At 50.9% G+C, this 17,181-nt stretch overlaps 1 protein-coding gene across 2 annotated transcripts, besides 3 other annotated features; it reads right to left on the bottom strand.

Moving 5' to 3' along the window:
* PLIN1 (perilipin 1) lies at positions 321 to 15,321 on the bottom strand. Of its 2 annotated transcripts, none has more exons than NM_001145311.2 (9): positions 15,276 to 15,321; positions 13,399 to 13,457; positions 9,164 to 9,368; positions 7,436 to 7,518; positions 5,934 to 6,198; positions 5,454 to 5,626; positions 3,556 to 3,747; positions 2,890 to 3,135; positions 321 to 1,896 (listed from the first exon to the last, which is right to left on the bottom strand). In NM_001145311.2, exons 2-9 carry the CDS (start codon positions 13,441 to 13,443, stop codon positions 1,537 to 1,539), a joined length of 1,569 nt encoding a protein of 522 aa, NP_001138783.1. In that variant the 5' UTR covers positions 13,444 to 13,457; positions 15,276 to 15,321; the 3' UTR covers positions 321 to 1,536. The 2 variants fall into 2 exon arrangements, with proteins under 2 accessions (NP_001138783.1, NP_002657.3); NM_002666.5 differs by having other exon boundaries at positions 15,205 to 15,321.
* Positions 1,703 to 1,812: a silencer, noted in NCBI's record as "silent region_6802". NCBI's record gives its function as "represses an Ori minimal core promoter by ATAC-STARR-seq in GM12878 lymphoblastoid cells {active_cell/tissue: GM12878}" and the evidence as "EXISTENCE:reporter gene assay evidence [ECO:0000049][PMID:35858748]".
* Positions 8,266 to 8,530: a silencer, noted in NCBI's record as "fragment chr15:90215543-90215807 (GRCh37/hg19 assembly coordinates)". NCBI's record gives its function as "represses an EF-1alpha promoter that drives an FKBP-Casp9 reporter gene in an ReSE screen in HepG2 liver carcinoma cells {active_cell/tissue: HepG2}" and the evidence as "EXISTENCE:reporter gene assay evidence [ECO:0000049][PMID:32094911]".
* Positions 9,072 to 9,366: a silencer, noted in NCBI's record as "tiled region #3473; HepG2 Repressive DNase matched - State 12:CtcfO, and K562 Repressive DNase unmatched - State 20:ReprD". NCBI's record gives its function as "represses a minimal TATA promoter and a strong SV40 promoter by Sharpr-MPRA in HepG2 and K562 cells {active_cell/tissue: HepG2 | K562}" and the evidence as "EXISTENCE:reporter gene assay evidence [ECO:0000049][PMID:27701403]".

The raw sequence follows: 17,181 nt of genomic DNA on the forward strand, positions 1-17,181 counted from the left end.
TCCAGGTGTGCAATAGAGTGGGAGCTAATAGAGTGGGTGCTTATGTGTCTGAGGGGGACCTGTGGAAGATGAGTATAAATATATGGATGTGTAAAAGGACTGACTGAAGACTCATAATTTTCTGTGCATATTTCTGAAGCTGCAGGTGAAAATAACTAGAAAAATAGGGTTTGGTTTGGCAGGCTACTTGGTATTATCTAGTAATGCTTAAAATGCACATATTCTTTCACCCAGTATGTCATGGTTACAAGTCATGCGTCTATCTCATATATATATATATATATATATATATACACATAGCCACACATGTACACTAGACATTTTTGATAAGGACATTTATTATAGCATCGTTTGCAGTAGCAAAAAAGAAAAAAAAAGGAAACAACTTAAAAGTCCATCATTAGGGAACTAGTTAAATCAAATAAGGCGTATCCATATTATGCAGTAGTTATTATGTGGCCATCAAAAAGAGCGAGTGGGATTTATAATGTGATACAAAAATCTCTCCAAGCTGTATTATTAAGTGAAAAAAGCAGGCATGCGTAACACCCCACAGCTTGTGTAAACACAAGCGGGGAGTGCATACACACGTGCCTGCAGGTGCATAGCCCTGCATACACAAGAGATGGCACCGTGGTGGTTTTCAATGAAGGGGAACAGGGGAGCTCGGGGAGAAAGACACACATCCTTTTGCAATATTTGAATTCTGTAATTGTATGAATGCATTTTCTAGATTTATCAAATATTAACATTTCGAAGACTAGGGTTGGGGATGAACTGTGGCTATACATAAAGTCTATATATCATCACCATTTTGGTTCCCCAGCATCAAAAGAGTGACTATGCAGGTGAAGGCAGTAATGATGCAAATGGAAATGTGGCTGTGAGCAAGCAGCTGGCTCTACAAAGCACACAGGCCTGGACTCAGCCTGTGAAGCGGCGGGTACTCAGAAAGTGACACTAGTATTTTAAATAAACACCCAAGAGCTTTTGCATCTGATTGTTCCCTTCAAAGTAGCCTGCTGGGAGCCTAGATCATCAGAGGATGTTCATCAGAGGGGGAACAGATCATCCTAGATCACAGAGGAGTTCAGTGCTAAGAATGTGTCAAAACCTTCTGTCTGGACCTTCAGAGTGGTGACAGGAGTTACTCATTCGTGGCAAATATTTATCCGCAGAGGCAGAATCTGAATTTTGGAAACGGTCAAATATCTTTTGGCCACAAGTTTGGTTAAAGAGATGAAAAATCAAGTTAGGCAATTACTCTTATAGTAACAACCAAGCCATAGAATCAGAGCAGGCTGCGGCTCTGGTGTCCCTTAAAAACTGGCTCTGAGAGTGAAGCCCCAAAAGGATGCTAAAAAAAAAATAAAAATAAAATAAAAATAAAAAGTGCGCCTTGGCAGCATCATCAGGATGAGGCTGAGCTCCCCAGGGGACCACTTTGAAAGTGGCAACGCTCGCCTGGGCAGTGCGGGTTCTGTTTATTTGTTAGAGAAACCCGCCGGCCCGGGGCGCGGCGGCTGGTGCGGCGACTCAGCTCTTCTTGCGCAGCTGGCTGTAATGCGTGCGGCCCAGGATGGGCTCCATGACGCTGGGCCGGAAGAAGCTGTCGCTGACCCTGCGCTTTGGCTTCTCGCGGGGCACGGCCGGGAAGCCCGGGCGCGGCGCTGCGGGCGTGGCGACTTCGTCCTCCAGGCCCGGGCCGGGGGGCGCGCCGGGGCTCTGCGCGCTGCGCAGGCTGCGGCGGGGCTGTGCGAGACGCGGGGCGGGCTCCGGGCCGGCGGACGGCGCCCCAGACGCTCTGCGCTCCGCCTCCCGGCGCTCGACCTCGGCTGGTGGGTTGTCGATGTCCCGGAATTCGCTCTCGGGCTCCATCAGCGACAGCCTGGGGAGCTGAGGGCCCGGCAGCCGCCTTAGAGTCCTGGCTTGGCCCTGGGCCCTGCGCCTCTGACCCACCGCCCCTTCCCGGGCCCCTCGATTGTTCCCCCGGGAGCGGCCGTCAGGAGGACACAGGCTGGGGAGCGGTTCAGTAGTTTGGGGGGCACCGGGGAAAGCCCTGAGGTCCTGCCCACTCTGAGCTTCTCCATGGACCAGGCTGCTCAGGCAAGCCAAGCCTCCCAAAGTTTCAGGATCCCCTAGGCCTTCCTGAGGGGAACCCTCAATGGGAGGTCATCAGCTTTCCTAACTCTTCCTTGCAGCCCACACAGTGACCTGGCCAGGGACCGGTACACCTTCCTGGGGCTGGCCCGAGCGCAGGATGAACAGGCGGGCTGCTAAGATCCCTGGCATGCTGCTTGGTAGAGTGACTGAGTAACCCACCCCCTTACCAGCTCTAAGGGTGCTTTCTGCCCTGACCAGCCCCGCCCCCCAGGCCTGCATAATCTGTAACCTGCTTTGGAAAGGGGCTCCCAAAGGGATGGCATTGGTATCCCCTGGGTTTTTCCTATTGGTGACAGGTGATAGAATTGGGTGGAGCCTGCTGCTGTCCCCTGGAACTCATGGCCCACCCCTCAGGGTGCCCTGGAAGCCTCTCCAACCCCTTCCCAGGCAGCAGCATGCAAACCCGCCCAGCCCTTCAGTTGAGAGCAAAGGGGTGAAGGTGAGCCACTGGGATCCTGGGACTGATGGCTGGAGACTCCTCTACCAGCAGGTGGGAGGGGCCGTGGGGAGAGGCCTCAGGCCAGAGCCATGGGCCTCTATACTCCTGGGGCTGGGAGAGGCCCAGTATGTTAAAATGTTGCCAGGGCACTGAGGACTGGAGTGGGGGGCGGTCTCCAGAGGAGTAGGGGAAAGGAGGGGGACTGCAGCCCCTTCAGTCAAATCTACTTTATCTGCCATGTCCAGGCCCCCTTGGGACACTAACAGTTTGCCAGGGGTGGTACTCACCGGCACGTAATGCACCACTGTGTCCACCACGTTGTCAGTAACGCCCTTCAGGGCATCTGATAGGGACATGGCCCTCCCCTTGGTTGAGGAGACAGCAGGGGCTGGTGTGAGGTGCAGCACCCTCCCTGCCATGCCCAGCACAGCTGCAGGTGCCCATGTCACAGCCGAGATGGTGGTCTGGAGGGTCTTCTGCAGGGTATGTGCCACACCACCCAGGAGGCCTCGAGGGCCTGGCAGGGCTGCTACCTGGGGGCCAAAGCAGGGTCAGTGCCTCCTGTGGTAACTCCCCTGACCCTTCCCTCCCCACCAGCCCCAGGGCTAGAGGGGAAAGCATGAGAATACCAAATTTACAAAACTTCAGGCCTATTCTGCCACTAGCAGTGTGGCCTTGGACAGGTCACATTCCCTCTCTGAACCTCTGTTTCTTCTCCTGCAAAATGGGACAATAATCTCTGCCCTGCCTATTTACAGAGTGTTGCAAGGGTCAGCTGAGAGAATGACATGGAAGTCCCTCGCCAGCTGGGCATTTGGGGGTGGGGTGAAGGGTGTTGCACGCACATGCCGTGCCCCTGCATCTGGGGCAGAGGCCCTGAGTTCACCCTATGCCTCTGCTTCTCACCCCTTCTGTGGGCTGGGGGACCTTGAGGCTCCCACTCTCCCCCTCACCTCACTGAACTTGTTCTCCTCAGTCTCCAATTCTTCCTCCTCCTCCGTGTCCTCTCCCTCCGTGTCTGTCTGGTCCTCATGATCCTCCTCCTGGGCGGCTGCGAGGCTGTGCAGCCAGGGTACCCGCACTTCGCTCCTCCGCCGGGACACCGCCTGCATGGCCACTGAGGCACCCCACTGGGCCAGGCTGCTCTGAGGGAGGATGGCAGCAGATAGCTGGCTCAACTGCCCCTGCTGAAGGCCAGGGAGCCCCAGCAGCCCAAGCCCCTCGCCCCCAGGGTCCGGGCCAGGTGGTGAGCAGGGCTCAGCCCCAGCAGACTTTTCTGGAAACTTTTTATTGAGTTGGTAATCTACATACACTAAAGTGCACACATCTTTAGTGTAAGCTCTATGAATTTTTATAAGAACACACCTGTGTAACCACCACAGATCAAGACATAGACCATTTTCAACACCCAAAGACTCCCTGTGTCCCCACTCAGTCCACATTCCCCCAAGAGTGACCACAGTCCTGCTCTCTGTCACCATGCCTTAGTTTTGCCTATTTTCGAACTTCATGTAAGTGGAGTCACACCATGTGTATTCATCTATTAATAGCTCCTTTAGTTAAATATGATGGTGTAAGTTTCACCCATGTTGCTGCAAATGGAAGTAGTTCCTTCTTTTTCATTTCTGTGTAATATTCCATCATACGAATTTCCTGTAATTTACCCATTCTACCGTTGATGGACATTATCATCGCTTCCAGTTCTTAGCTAAGGATATTGCTGATCTGAGCATTTTTCACTTGTCTTGGGAGACTTAAGTGCTCATTTCTGTTGGGTATACACTTAAGAGTGGAACTGCTGGGCCATAGGATATATGTATGTTAGCTTTGGTAGATACTCCTCCCAGATCTTTTAAGAGTGAAAAATTCAATGAACCAGAGTGTCCCATGGGAAGAAATTGACTGAGCAAGGGGGCTGGTATCTCCTGAGGCACATTCTAAACCTCTAGGGAGCCCCACAAACAGAGACTCCTTATTACACAGCTTTTGGGGATGCCACTCTATTCCATGCGAATGGTGGCACGTGAGGTTCTGCCCACTGCAGGCGGGGTCCAGGCATGTGACTCAGTCTCAGCTGTTATTGATGCAGGGGACAGAGGGGAGCTACTACTCCTGTATTCCTGCAGGGGCAACACTTGCTTGAATGAATGATCCACGCCTGATGATGCTTTTAAAAGTACTGCTCAAAAGATGGCTGAAAAGTAGTCATCTTGTTTGCTGGCCTTTATGCTTTAGTATTGTTTTATTTTCTTTTCTGGCCTTAGTTTCTTACTAAAATTCCTTATGAAAAACATCCAGCCTATTTCTGCTAAGATACAGAGAGGTGGAGGTGGGGAGTGGTGGGGAGTGGTGGGGAGTTAACTCTCCCTGGGCCTAGAAAGGGCAACTTCACCTTGGGTGCATTGGTGCTGGGTACACTCTCCCTGACAAAATGGGTTGTATACTTTGTTTATTTAAGGATGACAGTCCCTAGTGCTTGCATAGCAGATGGAGGTCCTGCTGTCTTATAGGTGGGAAGACCCATAGAAAGAGGTCCACTTGGGGGTATGAAGGCTGGGGCTTGTGGGAGACTCAGAGGGAAATGGGGGAGATAGAAGTGAGTGGTGGGGAAGGAGCACTCTAGCAAGGCAGGCCTGCCCTTGCTTAACATCCTCTCCCTTCTCTTTCCCTGTGGTCTGGAAGGCCATCCCTCTACCCCTCTCAAGTCCTCTTAGAACTGAAGCCCCAGCCCACGTTGGAAGAGAGAATGTTCTCAGGACAGGAAGGGGTGATGGGTGGGGGATGGGAGGGACTAGGAGGCCCACAGGGCTCCCAGGCACCGGGTCAGTCAGAGCTCACGGCAGATACTTACCAGGGGCACCACGCCTGGGATCCACATGGCCACGGTGTGGCCCTGCTCCAGGGCCCGGGCCATGGTCTGCACGGTGTATCGAGAGAGGGTGTTGGTCAGAGCCCCAACCCTGCTCAAGAGGCTTGGCTTGGCCTTGGGAGACTTCTGGGCTTGCTGGTGTCCAGGAGCAGGGGCTGGGTAGGGATTTGGGGGGAAAGAAGAGAAAACAGGTCAGAGAGGGGCCGGAGAGATCTGGGTCATGTCTAGGACTGGAAAGTAGGTGTTCTAGGTCCACCACAAACTCACTGGTGAGTTCCACAACTCACTTTCCCTCTTTACAGATGGGGTGGGGGTGGGGGGGGTAAATGATTATGAATCCATCTGAAAATCCCACTGGCCTTCCCTATTCCAGAGCAGTGGCTGGTTGAGCCACCTCCTGCTGATTCCCAGGCAGTGTGTGTGACAACTCACTCCCAGGCCGAGCCTCCGAATGGCAGGTACCTGACTCTTCCTTGTCTGGAGGGAGGAGGTACTCCACCACCTTCTCAATGCTGCCCAAGGCCAAGTCGGCCCCTCCAGAAGCCAGTCGGCCAGCTCGAGTGTTGGCAGCAAATTCCGCAGTGTCTCTGGCCACCCCCCAGGCAAGCTCGCACCCGGCCAAAGCGGCCCCCAGGACCTTGTCTGAAGTGCTCGCGATGGGAACGCTGATGCTGTTTCTGGCACTGCGGAGGCGGGTGGAGATGGTGTCCTTCAGCTCAGAAGCAATCTGGGGGAAGTTGGTGGGGGTGTTAGGCATGTGGTCTTGCAGGCCCTACAAGGGCTGCCCTTCCGGGGTCTGGTGGCCTGAGCCCAGCTCCCAGGAAGGCATCACCTAAAGGCCCAGGGAACTGGTACTGATATTTAGGTACCTGGAATTAAGCTGGGCTTTAGAGGAGAGGGCTCCAACCTTCCCTGTGCCAACTGTTTGGATCTCCTGGCTTCTTCACCCCGCATCACAGCCTGTCAAGATCCCTCCCATCCTGTGAGGATGACCCCAAAGGCTCGTCCTTGGTGCCACCTGTCCTGATACCCTTGGGCTCACAAGGAATCTCCTCCATCCTTTCCTCAGAACACAGCATTTCTGTTGATTTATAGGTGTGCTTGATCTTCCTACAAGTTCTGCACTGAAATAATTTGTCTTTTTCTTCATTATTCTGGGAGCTCTTTTGTGACAAAAATGTTGCCTTTTATCTGGAAAAATGGGGAGCAAAGAGCACAGGTCTCACAGCTGAATAGACCTGCTCTCATTGTCCCCACTTAAGGCTGTGTGGCCGTGGGGGAGACACTGGTTTCCTCTCTGTAAAATGGAGATAACAACCCCTATCCCAGAGGGTTGACAAGTGGATTAAAGAAGAGCGCTTGATAAAGCATAGGTGATGGCCCCGGGCATAGGGTAGGGCTCAGTACCTGTTTGTGGGAAGGGTAGATAGTTGGTCAGTGAGATAGATGAGGTCAGAGACTGAAGCTTATTCCCCAGAAGCACCAAAAATGAGTCCTTATCATAGCAACTACCCAATAAATATGTAGCCAGGTAAAGTGACCTTCAATCTCATGGTCCATAAAAGGTTGGATCTTGAGGATATGGGATGACACTCCTGGGATCTGAATGAGTGTGACTCATGATCTTAGGCAGCTGTAGTTGCCAAGTGGTCCAGGGCAGACTATGGAACCTCAGATCCCAGGGTGCGGTATCGGGAGGCAGTGGGACCCGCCTCAAGCTCCTGTTTGGGTTTGCCTCTGGGCTCGTGCCTGCTGGTCCCAGAAACCCCACCTCCGTTTAGCTTCACAGGGAGAAGAGGAGCCTGTTGTGTGGCCTTGGGAGCAGGCACTCTCCGCCAGCCTTGGAGGGTGCTCACCATGGGACACAGACTTCCAGTCACGGCATCAGCAGCCCCTGCCCTCTCCTCCCTGAGAGGCGGTGACGACAGAGTGCAGGGAGGCTTCGAGAGGTGGGAAGGGCTCACCTTTTCAGGGGGGTACTGGAGGGCGGGGATCTTTTCCTCCAGGTGGTCCAAGCCTCGGCAGGCCAGCTCATTGGCAGCTGTGACTGGAAGGAAAGGGCCAAGTTTGGGTGAGCCCTGCCCCTCCCCATGAGAATCTAGCAGTGGCTTCTGTGCCAAGGAAGTGACTTGGAGCCCTCAAATCCCAAGGCCTGCTGCCTCCCCAGCATCTCTGGGCCCCAGGCCCTTTGCCCTCTTTCGCCCTTGTCTGCAGGGACTCCTCAAGACCCGGGCCAGTTTCTTCTGTCTGTGTGGGAACTCTGGAGTCGCTCAGACCTGCACTCAAAAGGCCAAGTGACCACATCTAAGAAGCCTGTGGCCTCAGCTAGTCACAGCCTGTCTGAGCCTCTGCTTCCTACCTTGTAAAAGGTGAATTAATGGTGCCTGCCTGGCAGGATTTTTGTGAAGAAGAATGATGGGAGCTATATGAATCACCAACAAGTACCGTTCTTTCCCTCCTTCTCTTCCTTCCTGACCTGCAAGGGGGCTCTGAGTGAGCATGAGGAGGGAGAAGAGAGGTGTGAGAGGGAAGCAGATGGCAGTGAGGCCTTGGGGCTGGGCCTGCTTAGCTATCAACATGACAAACTCCCAGCACAGCCAGTGCAGGCCCCAGGCCGTCCATGCTCTTCTTTTTAACCACTAGGTGTTGAGATGGTCAACTGTCCGAAGAGGGTCACAGGGAAGGGAAAAGAGTTGCCCCCGGAGAGTGGGCATGCATCAGAGATGCACCTGCTTCAAGGGGATCCCGCCTGGATTGGCCGGGACATCGGCTCTGCAGCCATGGCCAATGGGGGCCACAGCTTTCAAGGAGAGTTCTTCATACTCTTTCATATATTCTTTTGCCAGATACCTTATTTTTCTTCACAAAATTCTCAAGCAGCAGAGAGCCCAGATGACTTGGCTGTCTTCCAGTTGGGCAGAATGAGACTCAAGGAAACTATTTAAGGAGATTGTAGCCAGGGACAGGGCCTGGGCCTACTTCACATCGGTCCTCTCCTGTTTGCTGTGTGGAGTCCTCAGCTACCCATAATTCTGTAATTAGGATGGTGGAAGGTACCAGACTTTTTGGCATTGCTGCGATTTCCCTCAGCCCTGTGTATGCCTTGGAGACCACATTTTCAGATGGGGCAGAACAATTTGAGTGGTGCACATCTGGTAAGGCCAGTAGGAGAGCCATCTTCTGCCTCTAGGGCCCTGGCTGGAGGCTCTCTGCCACCCCCACCCGTCATGAGCCGCTACCATCAGCTGCTGGGCTCAGCCAGCTTTCCCCTCCCTCCGTGCCCTCCGGCCCTGCCAGGCCCCCTAGTGCCGGCTGCCTCTGCCTCTGCCAGACTCTGCTGGTTCTTGCTGCTGCTGCTGCCTGTGCTGCGACAGTGAGTGTCTGGTCTGCCATGGGCCCTACCCTCACCACTGCCTGCACAGCTCTGCCTTCCCTTCCCCTGCAGATTCTCTGGCCATCATTGTTATCCTAGGAAAATGCCAGCTGGGCCATAGATAGGCATCTATAGAAGAAAAGAGATCTGTATGTATACCTTTATAGCCATAGATAAGAAGACCATGCAATGGGATGTGGGCAGTTAAGCAGACAGACAAGCAAGTTATCAGACAGTCAGACAGACTGAGAGGCGGACAGACAGACTGGAAGGTAGGCAGTGAACAAGCAGGCAGCTGCTGAGCGCCGCAAGGACTCACACTGGGTGGACAGCCTGCGGACCACCGGCTCCATGCTCCAGGCAGCCAAGCTACTGGCGCTCTGCACGCCCTTCTCATAGGCATTGCACACAGAGGCCACCAGGGGGTGGGCTTCCTTAGTGCTGGTGTAGGTCTTCTGGAAGCATTCGCAGGTGCCACTCACCACCGGCAGCTGCAGGACCCGCTGCAGCACATTCTCCTGCTCCTGGTGCGGAAGGAACACATTCAAGTTGTCCCACCTCCCTCTCCAGCCTCCCGGGAAGCTGACCCCGGGGTCATGGGGACCAATGGTGCAACTAGCCTGAGTCCAAGCGACCTGGGAGGAACCAAGGCCAAAGAGGTCTCTAGATGCCCCAATCATGGGAGCGTGGGAGAGCCCATGGGGAAAACAAGAGTCAGCCGGCCATGTCCTCCTGGTCACCATCCGGGGTGCTGGAGAGCTGCCAAGGCAATCTCTGTTCTCCAGGGACCAAGTCAGATCCCATCACTCCCACCCCCACCTCAGCTCACTCCCCTGATACCTACTGGTAGAGAGCAAGTGTTGTTAATGTCTAGAGTTTTAGTCCACCTTTGATTGGTGGCTTCTCCAAACATTTTTCTGGTCTTTCTGGGGTACTGCCTCCCTGCCTGTGTATCCCGACCCCACTGCCTAGAACGCTCACCTTCCCTCCCACAGCCCTTGCTGCCTGGCAGAATGCCATTCCTTCAAGACTCTGCTTGACCAGCACTCCCCCTGTGAAGCTTCCAGACTCTCCTCCATCACGTCGGAAACCACTCCCTCCCTGGCTCTCTCCACATTCGTCACACCGTGCTGTGGTTATGTGTGTTCATCTCACTCCCCGTAGACTGTCATCTCCGCATCCCCAGAGTGTAGGCCAAACATGGCACAGTAATATTAGCTGAATACGTGAACCACAGTCAGGGCTGTGCCTAGTAGAATGTGTAGGTTTAGATCTGCCCAACTGCACAGAATCACAGAATCTTAGGGGACTTTGTAGTAAGAATCCTTTCCATCCTTCCTCTGGTCGACTTGTATTTGTTTTTATTTATTTATTATTTTTTATAGAGACAGGGTTTCACTCTGTTGCTCAAACTGAAGTGCATTAGTGCCATCATAGTTCACTGTAACCTCCAACTCGTGGGCTCAAACAGTCCCCACACTTGTGCCTCCTGGGTAGCTGGGACTACAGGCCTGTGACACCATGCCTTGCTAATATTTTTATTTTGTAGAGGAGGGGTCTTGCCGGTCTTGAACTCCTGGACTCAAGTGATCCTTCTGCCTCAGCCTCCCAAATCACTGAGATTATAGGCCTAAGCCATTGCGCCCAGCCAAGACTTATATTTGAATGTCTCCCTGAATGAGAGCTCTCCCCCTCACAAAGTGGCCTGTGTCCCTTGTTGGACAGCTTTGCTGAGCTGAAATTTGCCTCCACCCCCCTGTTCCACACTCTGCCCTCTGGAACAAAACTGAGCAAACCTATTTCCTCATCCATGGGTTGGCCCTTCACATATTTGAAGTCAAATATGTCTCCCTTTAGAAGTGCCGCCATCATGTTAAATGGCTCCAGTTCCTAACTTCGTTTACAAATGGTTCACACTGTGGTCTGGTGACCCCCTCTCCTGGACATGCTACAGTTTTACATTATCTTTCTTAAAAATATACTACCCTCGCTTGAGCCCAGGAGTTTAAGGCCAGCCTGGGCAACACAGGGAGACCCCGTCTCTACAAAAAAAAATAATAAATAATAATAACATAATTAGCAGGGCATGGTGCTGTGTGCCTGTGGTCCCGGCTACTCGGGAACCTGAGGCGGGAAGATCGCATGAGTCCGGGAGTTGGAGGCTGTAGTGAGCCATAATCACGCCACTGTACCACAGCCTCGATGACAGAATGACACCCTGTCTCAAAAAACAAAAAACAAACAAACAACACTCAAAGACAGCACTCTGGGTGCGATCTGCACGTGCTGGGTGTAGTGGAACAATCGTTTATCATTTCCGGGGTGCTGTGCTGTTAGTAATGCACCTTTGGCAGCAGTCACATAATTAAGTTTTAGGTCACCTAGGAACCTTAGTGAAAAAACACTGGTCTTTGAGTAAAAGAATGAATTCTAGGGCTAAGTGTAGAAGCTCATGCCTGTAATCCCAACACTTTGGGAGGCTGAGGCGGGAGGATCATTTGAAGCCAGGAGTTTGAGACCACTCTGAGCCACAAAAAAAAAAAAAAAAAAAAAAAAAGCTGGCCATGCTAATATTTGATGGCATGTGGACTACACAGTCCCAGCTGCTGGGGAGGCTGAGGTGAGAGGACTGTCTGAGACCAGGAGTCCGAGGCTGCAGTGAACTATGACAATGCCACTGCACTCCAGCCGGGGTGACAGAGCAAGACTCTATATCTAAAAAATAAATAAATAAAATTAAAAGAACAAATTCTAGGCATGCAGAGGGAAAGAACATTTGCCAGGTGCCATTATGCTGCAGGCACTGGTCTGGGTGCCTTGGTGACATGAGCTCACTTAATTCTAACAGCCATCCTCTGGGGTCAGCACTGTCACCAACACTGAGTCGATGAGGAGATTGACAATCAGAAACAGGAAGTGATTTACCCAAGATCCCACAGCTGATAAGTGGCAGAGCCAGGATTCCAACACAAGTTGGAAATGGCCTACCTGGGATTACCTTCAAAATAACATGAAGTGGGGGAATTAATGGAAGTGAGGACGAGGCGGGATTGGCCACGAATTCATGGTCTTCGGGGCTAATAAAGGGTACGTGGGGCTTCCTATGTTCTTTTCTGTCTATTCTTATGAATGTTGAGAATTCTCCATATCAAAAGTAAAAAGAAAAAAAAACCCAGGTCAGATTCCGATGCTCAGGCTCTCTGTAGCTTTGAATATGACACTGTGGCATGGTTTTGCTCGCAAAGTGAAGACCTGACCTGTTCTGTTAGTAGGAGGCAGAGTTCAAAGACCCCCATCAATGACACCTACATGTACACTAAGACAGAGCAGCCCACAATATCTTAGTTTTTTTTTGTTGTTTGTTTGTTTGTTTTTTTGAGATGGAATCTCGCTGTCTCCCAGGCTGGAGTGCAGTGGCGCGATCTCAGCTCACTGCAAGCTCTGCCTCCTGGGTTCATGCCATTCTCCTGCCTCAGTCTCCCAAGTAGCTGGGACTACAGGCGCCCGCCACCATACCCCGCTGATTTTTTGTATTTTTAGTAGAGATGGGGTTTCACTGTGTTAGCCAGGATGGTCTTGATCTCCTGACCTTGTGAACCGCCCGCCTTGGCCTCCCAAAGTGCTGGGATTACAGGCGTGAGCCACTGCACCTGGCCAATATCTTAGTTTTTTATCCTGCAGGTGAATTTGAAATTTGAACTAGAAATAGACTATGACTATAAACAAGAAAACATTCTTTTTAACATTTTGGACGAGGCTTCAGAGGTTGTTTTACACAAAACCGAAGGAGGAAAGAGATCCTGGGAAGGGAATAAACCACCGTCTGTTAGAATGGCTTAACCATGTACTTGACCATTTTACGCCTCTCTCTGTTCTATGATTCAATACAAAACAAAGTGATTCCTAGTGCAGGAGTTAGTAAAAGCGTAACTTGGGCAAGGTGGATATTGCACAGGTTCATAATTTTTAAGTTTCACTATCCGAACTGTGCCCAAATCTGAGATGCCTTGCCAGGAGCCATCAAGCATCCCTAAAAGTATCAAATCACTTCAAGTCACAGTGAAAACCAGGTCAGAGATAGAACACCAGACACATGGAATATCCCACCCTTCCCCCCACACAGCAGCACAGGCTGTGCACCGTCTAACTCCGACAGGTGACATTTGCCGTTATGAATGATGCTGGAGACACAGAATACAGTGGCTCTGCACTGAATGCACATCCAGCTGGGTGGTGGACAGAGCATGGGCTTCTGCGTCAGGGTTTAAACAGTAGTTTCCTTCCTCTCCACTCCCCCCGTCCCTAAGCCAGGATTTCTGTCCCTTTTTTTCAAGGTGCTTAATTTTTAATAGGCATCTTTTTTTCCCCTCCCAGATCCTCCAACTGCCCCCTACAAAAGGTGGTGAGGGCAAGAATAACTAAGCCATGGTAGTCAATGAACTAGGATTATAATCTGGGAATATCTTGCTCTAAGTCCCCTGCATCTCCCCTCCCTGCTTCTTCCTCCTCCCTCAGTTGTCCATCCCCTGTCACAGATGAGCCCAAGTTACTTACAGGGAGGTCTCCATCCAGCAAGGTGAGGCCTTTGTTGACTGCCATCCTCGCTCCTCAAGCTGCAAAACAGAGTCCCAGGTCCCATCAGAAGCCCTCAGGCTTGAGCTCCACTGGGTCACTTCCCTACCTCTCATGGCCACCAACTAGGCCCAGGCTGCCTGGGGGCCCATTTGCCCTGAACAGAAGGCATTAGGTTGGAGGGTGAATATCACACACAATAGCCCCACTCCTTAGGGTCCCATAGCAATGAGTTGCTCCATAGCTTACTTGTCAAGACTGATGTTTCTTTCTTTTTCTTTTCTTTCTTTCTTTTTTTTTTTTTTTGAGATGGATTCTTGCTCTGTTGCCCAGGCTGGAGTGTAGTTGCACAATCTCGGCTCACTACAACCTCCGCCTCCCGGGTTCAAGGGATTCTCCTGCCTCAGCCTCCCAAGTAGCTGGGATTACAGGCGCCCACCACCACGCCCGGCTAGTTTTTTTTTTTTTTTCTGTTTAGTAGAGATGGGGTTTCACCATGTTGGCTAGGCTGGTGTCGAACTCCTGACCTCAAGTGATCCACCTGCCTAGACCTCCCAAAGTGCTGGGATTACAGGCATGAACCACCACACTGGCTAATTTTTGTATTTTTAGTAGAGATGGGGTTTCATCATGTTGGCCAGGCTGGTCTCGAACTCCTGGCCTCAAGTGATCTGCCCACCTTGGCCTCCCAAAGTGCTGTGATTACAGGCAAGAGCCACCATGCCCGGCCAAGAATAATGTTTCCTATAAGAGTTCAGGTTAAGAGGCCAGGCGCGGTGGCTCAGGCCTGTAATCCCGGCACTTTGGGAGTCCAAGGCAGGCAGATCACCTGAGTTCAGGAGTTCAAGACCAGCCTGGGCAACATGGTGAAACTCCGTCTCTGCTAAAAATACAAAAATTAGCCAGACGTGGTGGTGGGCAGCTGTAATCCCAGCTACTTGGGAGGCTGAGGCAGGAGGATCGCTTGAGCCTGAGAGGTGGAGGTTGCAGTGAGCTGAGATCCTGCCACTGCACTCCAGCCTGGGTGACAGAGGGAGACTCTGTCTCAAAAAAAAAAAGGAGTTCAGGTTAGGAAATAAAAAATGCAGGTAGCCATAAGAGATAAAAAGTTTTAGATAAAATCTTAAGGCTCTTAAATGAGGGTCCAAAAGAGACTAAAACAAGAAGTTTCAAGCTGGGTGCACTGGCAAGCACCTGTAATCCCAGCTACTGAGGCTGACATGGGAGAATTGCTTGAGCCCAGGAGTTTGAGATCAGCCTCGGCAATACAGTGAGATGCCCATCTCTAAAAAAATAAATAAACAAGTTAAAGGTTTCATCTTTGAAAAGGCTCTGGGTTAATTCCTCTATTTCTCTCTTTCTCTCTGTCTGTCCCTCTCCCCCTCTCCCTATCTGTTTTTTGAGACAGGGTCTCAATCTGTTGCCCAGGATGGAATGTGGTGGCACGATCATGGCTCAATGCAGCCTTGACCTCCTGGGATCAAGGTACCCTCCCACCTCAGCCTCTCATGTAGCTGGGACTACAGGCATGCACCACAATGCAGGGCTAATTTTTTCTCTTTTTTTATAGAGACAGGATCCCACTGTGTTGCCCAGGTTGTTCTTGAACTCCTGGGCTCAAGTGATCCACCTGCCTTGGCCACCTGCAGTGCTGGGATTAAAGGCATGATCCACTGTGCCTATCCAATTCCTCTATTTCTAGATTCTGGTATCTATACCAGAATCTCTCCCTCAGTAGTTTCCCTGCAGAGTTTTTCATCCCCAGCAAAATCCCCAAGAGGCCCTTACCTTCAACTTCTTCCCTTTAATGTTCATAAACAAGCCATGTAAGGCAGGTGCCCCAGGACCCCAACACTCACTCCGGCTGACCGCCACCTCAGTCTCACAGAGCCCAGGCTGCAGAGTGTCTCCTCAGGCAGAAACAATTCCTGTCACTCCTGGGAGGCTTGGGCAATGCTGCTTCCACCTCCCAGCTAGAGGAGGGCAGAGAGGGAGAGACAACAGGGTCAGCCAGTTGTCATGGTTATATGACCCAGGGTTCCCCAGGCATATCCTAACTTCTCTAAGGACATTTAGCAAACAAGGAGGTAGGTGGCAGAGCTGAAGGAGATCCAGGCTCAGAGGACTTAGTATTCCAGAGCCATGAAGCATCAGTTCTGTAATGTTCCTGCCCTCAATTCACAAAAATCTGCTTTCCAGAAAGAAGGTATAGGGATAGACATCATTAAACTCAAAAGCTCTAAAGTTCTATATACCTCTGCAATCTTTTGGCTCCTTTTCCATAGAGGGTCTTGTGGGAGTTTTCAATCCATTTCTCTCATCTTTTCTTATTTACTAGCAAGACTGAATGCTGAACAGTAAAATTTAAACCCACACAGAAGAGTTCATCTGAATGTATTCATCTTTGATTATGGAGATAAATTGCCCTCAGTGAAGAAGCGACAGAGCCGGGAGTTGAGTTTTTGACAATATAGCCTTTGAGTTGAGGGAGGAATTCCCACTTCTTAGAATTCAAAAAAATTTATTGAACTTTACCTGGCCTAAGATGCTACCAGAATGAAGAGTAGGAGAGCCAAGTAGATTTTTATTCTCCTGGGTCTGGATAAGCGACAGTGTTGACTAGGATTCTATCACTAATCAAGAGCACCCAGACAGCCAAGAATTAGCACCACTCAACCCTTCTTTACCCAGGACTCAAGCACAAGCCCAAGTTCTAGTTCCTGGCTTTAGATATGATGGAGGACTATGGTATAAGCCATAGCTTTCAGATTAACTAAGAAGGGCCTCTTCATGAAAACAGACAATAGGAAAACAAAACTTATTTTCTTTGTTGCTGGTGGAATTATATGTATTGTTGACTCTGTTAAGTCACACAGTGTGGGCAAGAGAAGAAAGAGGCAGGGGTGGGGAATTATGAAAGATCCTTGGTAATAAATTACGTATCTGTGATGCAATAAAGTAGGGAATGAGAAGGCAGGAAAGGGAGGAGTCAAGCAGGGAGGCTTCAAAGGAGTAATACGCTATACGTTTAATACTTATTGATCCAACCTGTGCTTTTCAAATGTAAGGCAGTAGAGAAGACAAAGTATTTAAAGAAGTGGCCTCTGCCCTCACCTCAAGGTTCAGCACAAATTATCTGTGAGGCTGTGACTGGACAGCAACCTGAGCCAAAGGGCAGTTTTCAGCCTTCAGAGTAGTGGCTTTGGGCCAGAGGGAACATAGGGCTTTGTGCCTGAAAGCTCTGCCAAATCAAATAGTCCTTTGGCTGCTTTAGCTGGGAGTGCAGAATGTGGGTGAGAGGTGAGAAGTGGTGAAAGGGCCTAGGAGAGTCCCGAGGGAAGACAGAAGTGTTAGTTTTCTAGCAGTAGCTTGCAGGGCATAGAGTTCTATCTTCTTTCCTTCTCCGTACCTACCTGCTTTCCCTACCCCTCCACCAAGTGAGAGCAGGGACCTAGGTCATCTTGCTCACAAGTGGATACCCAAAACCATGCATGGCACTCAAACATTCATTGTTGAATAAATGAATTGTCAGGCAACAATGCTCAGTTGTGAATGTGCTGGGCTGTACATCTACGAAGAACTTCTTCGATTTTTGGCATCCCTCATGAATGTGGAGGCTCTGGGGTGGAAAACATTAGTTACAAAGAAGGATTCACAGGGTGGTACCAGGACACCATTAAGGTTTACACAAACCTCTTAGAAGAGGTAGTATTTCCCAAACTCCCCACCACTCACCATTGCAGAGGACAAAAGTACCAAGATGGA

The sequence above is a fragment of the Homo sapiens genome, chromosome 15 (genome assembly GCF_000001405.40).
Source record: "Homo sapiens chromosome 15, GRCh38.p14 Primary Assembly".
In the NCBI taxonomy this organism is placed as follows: Eukaryota; Metazoa; Chordata; class Mammalia; order Primates; family Hominidae; genus Homo; species Homo sapiens.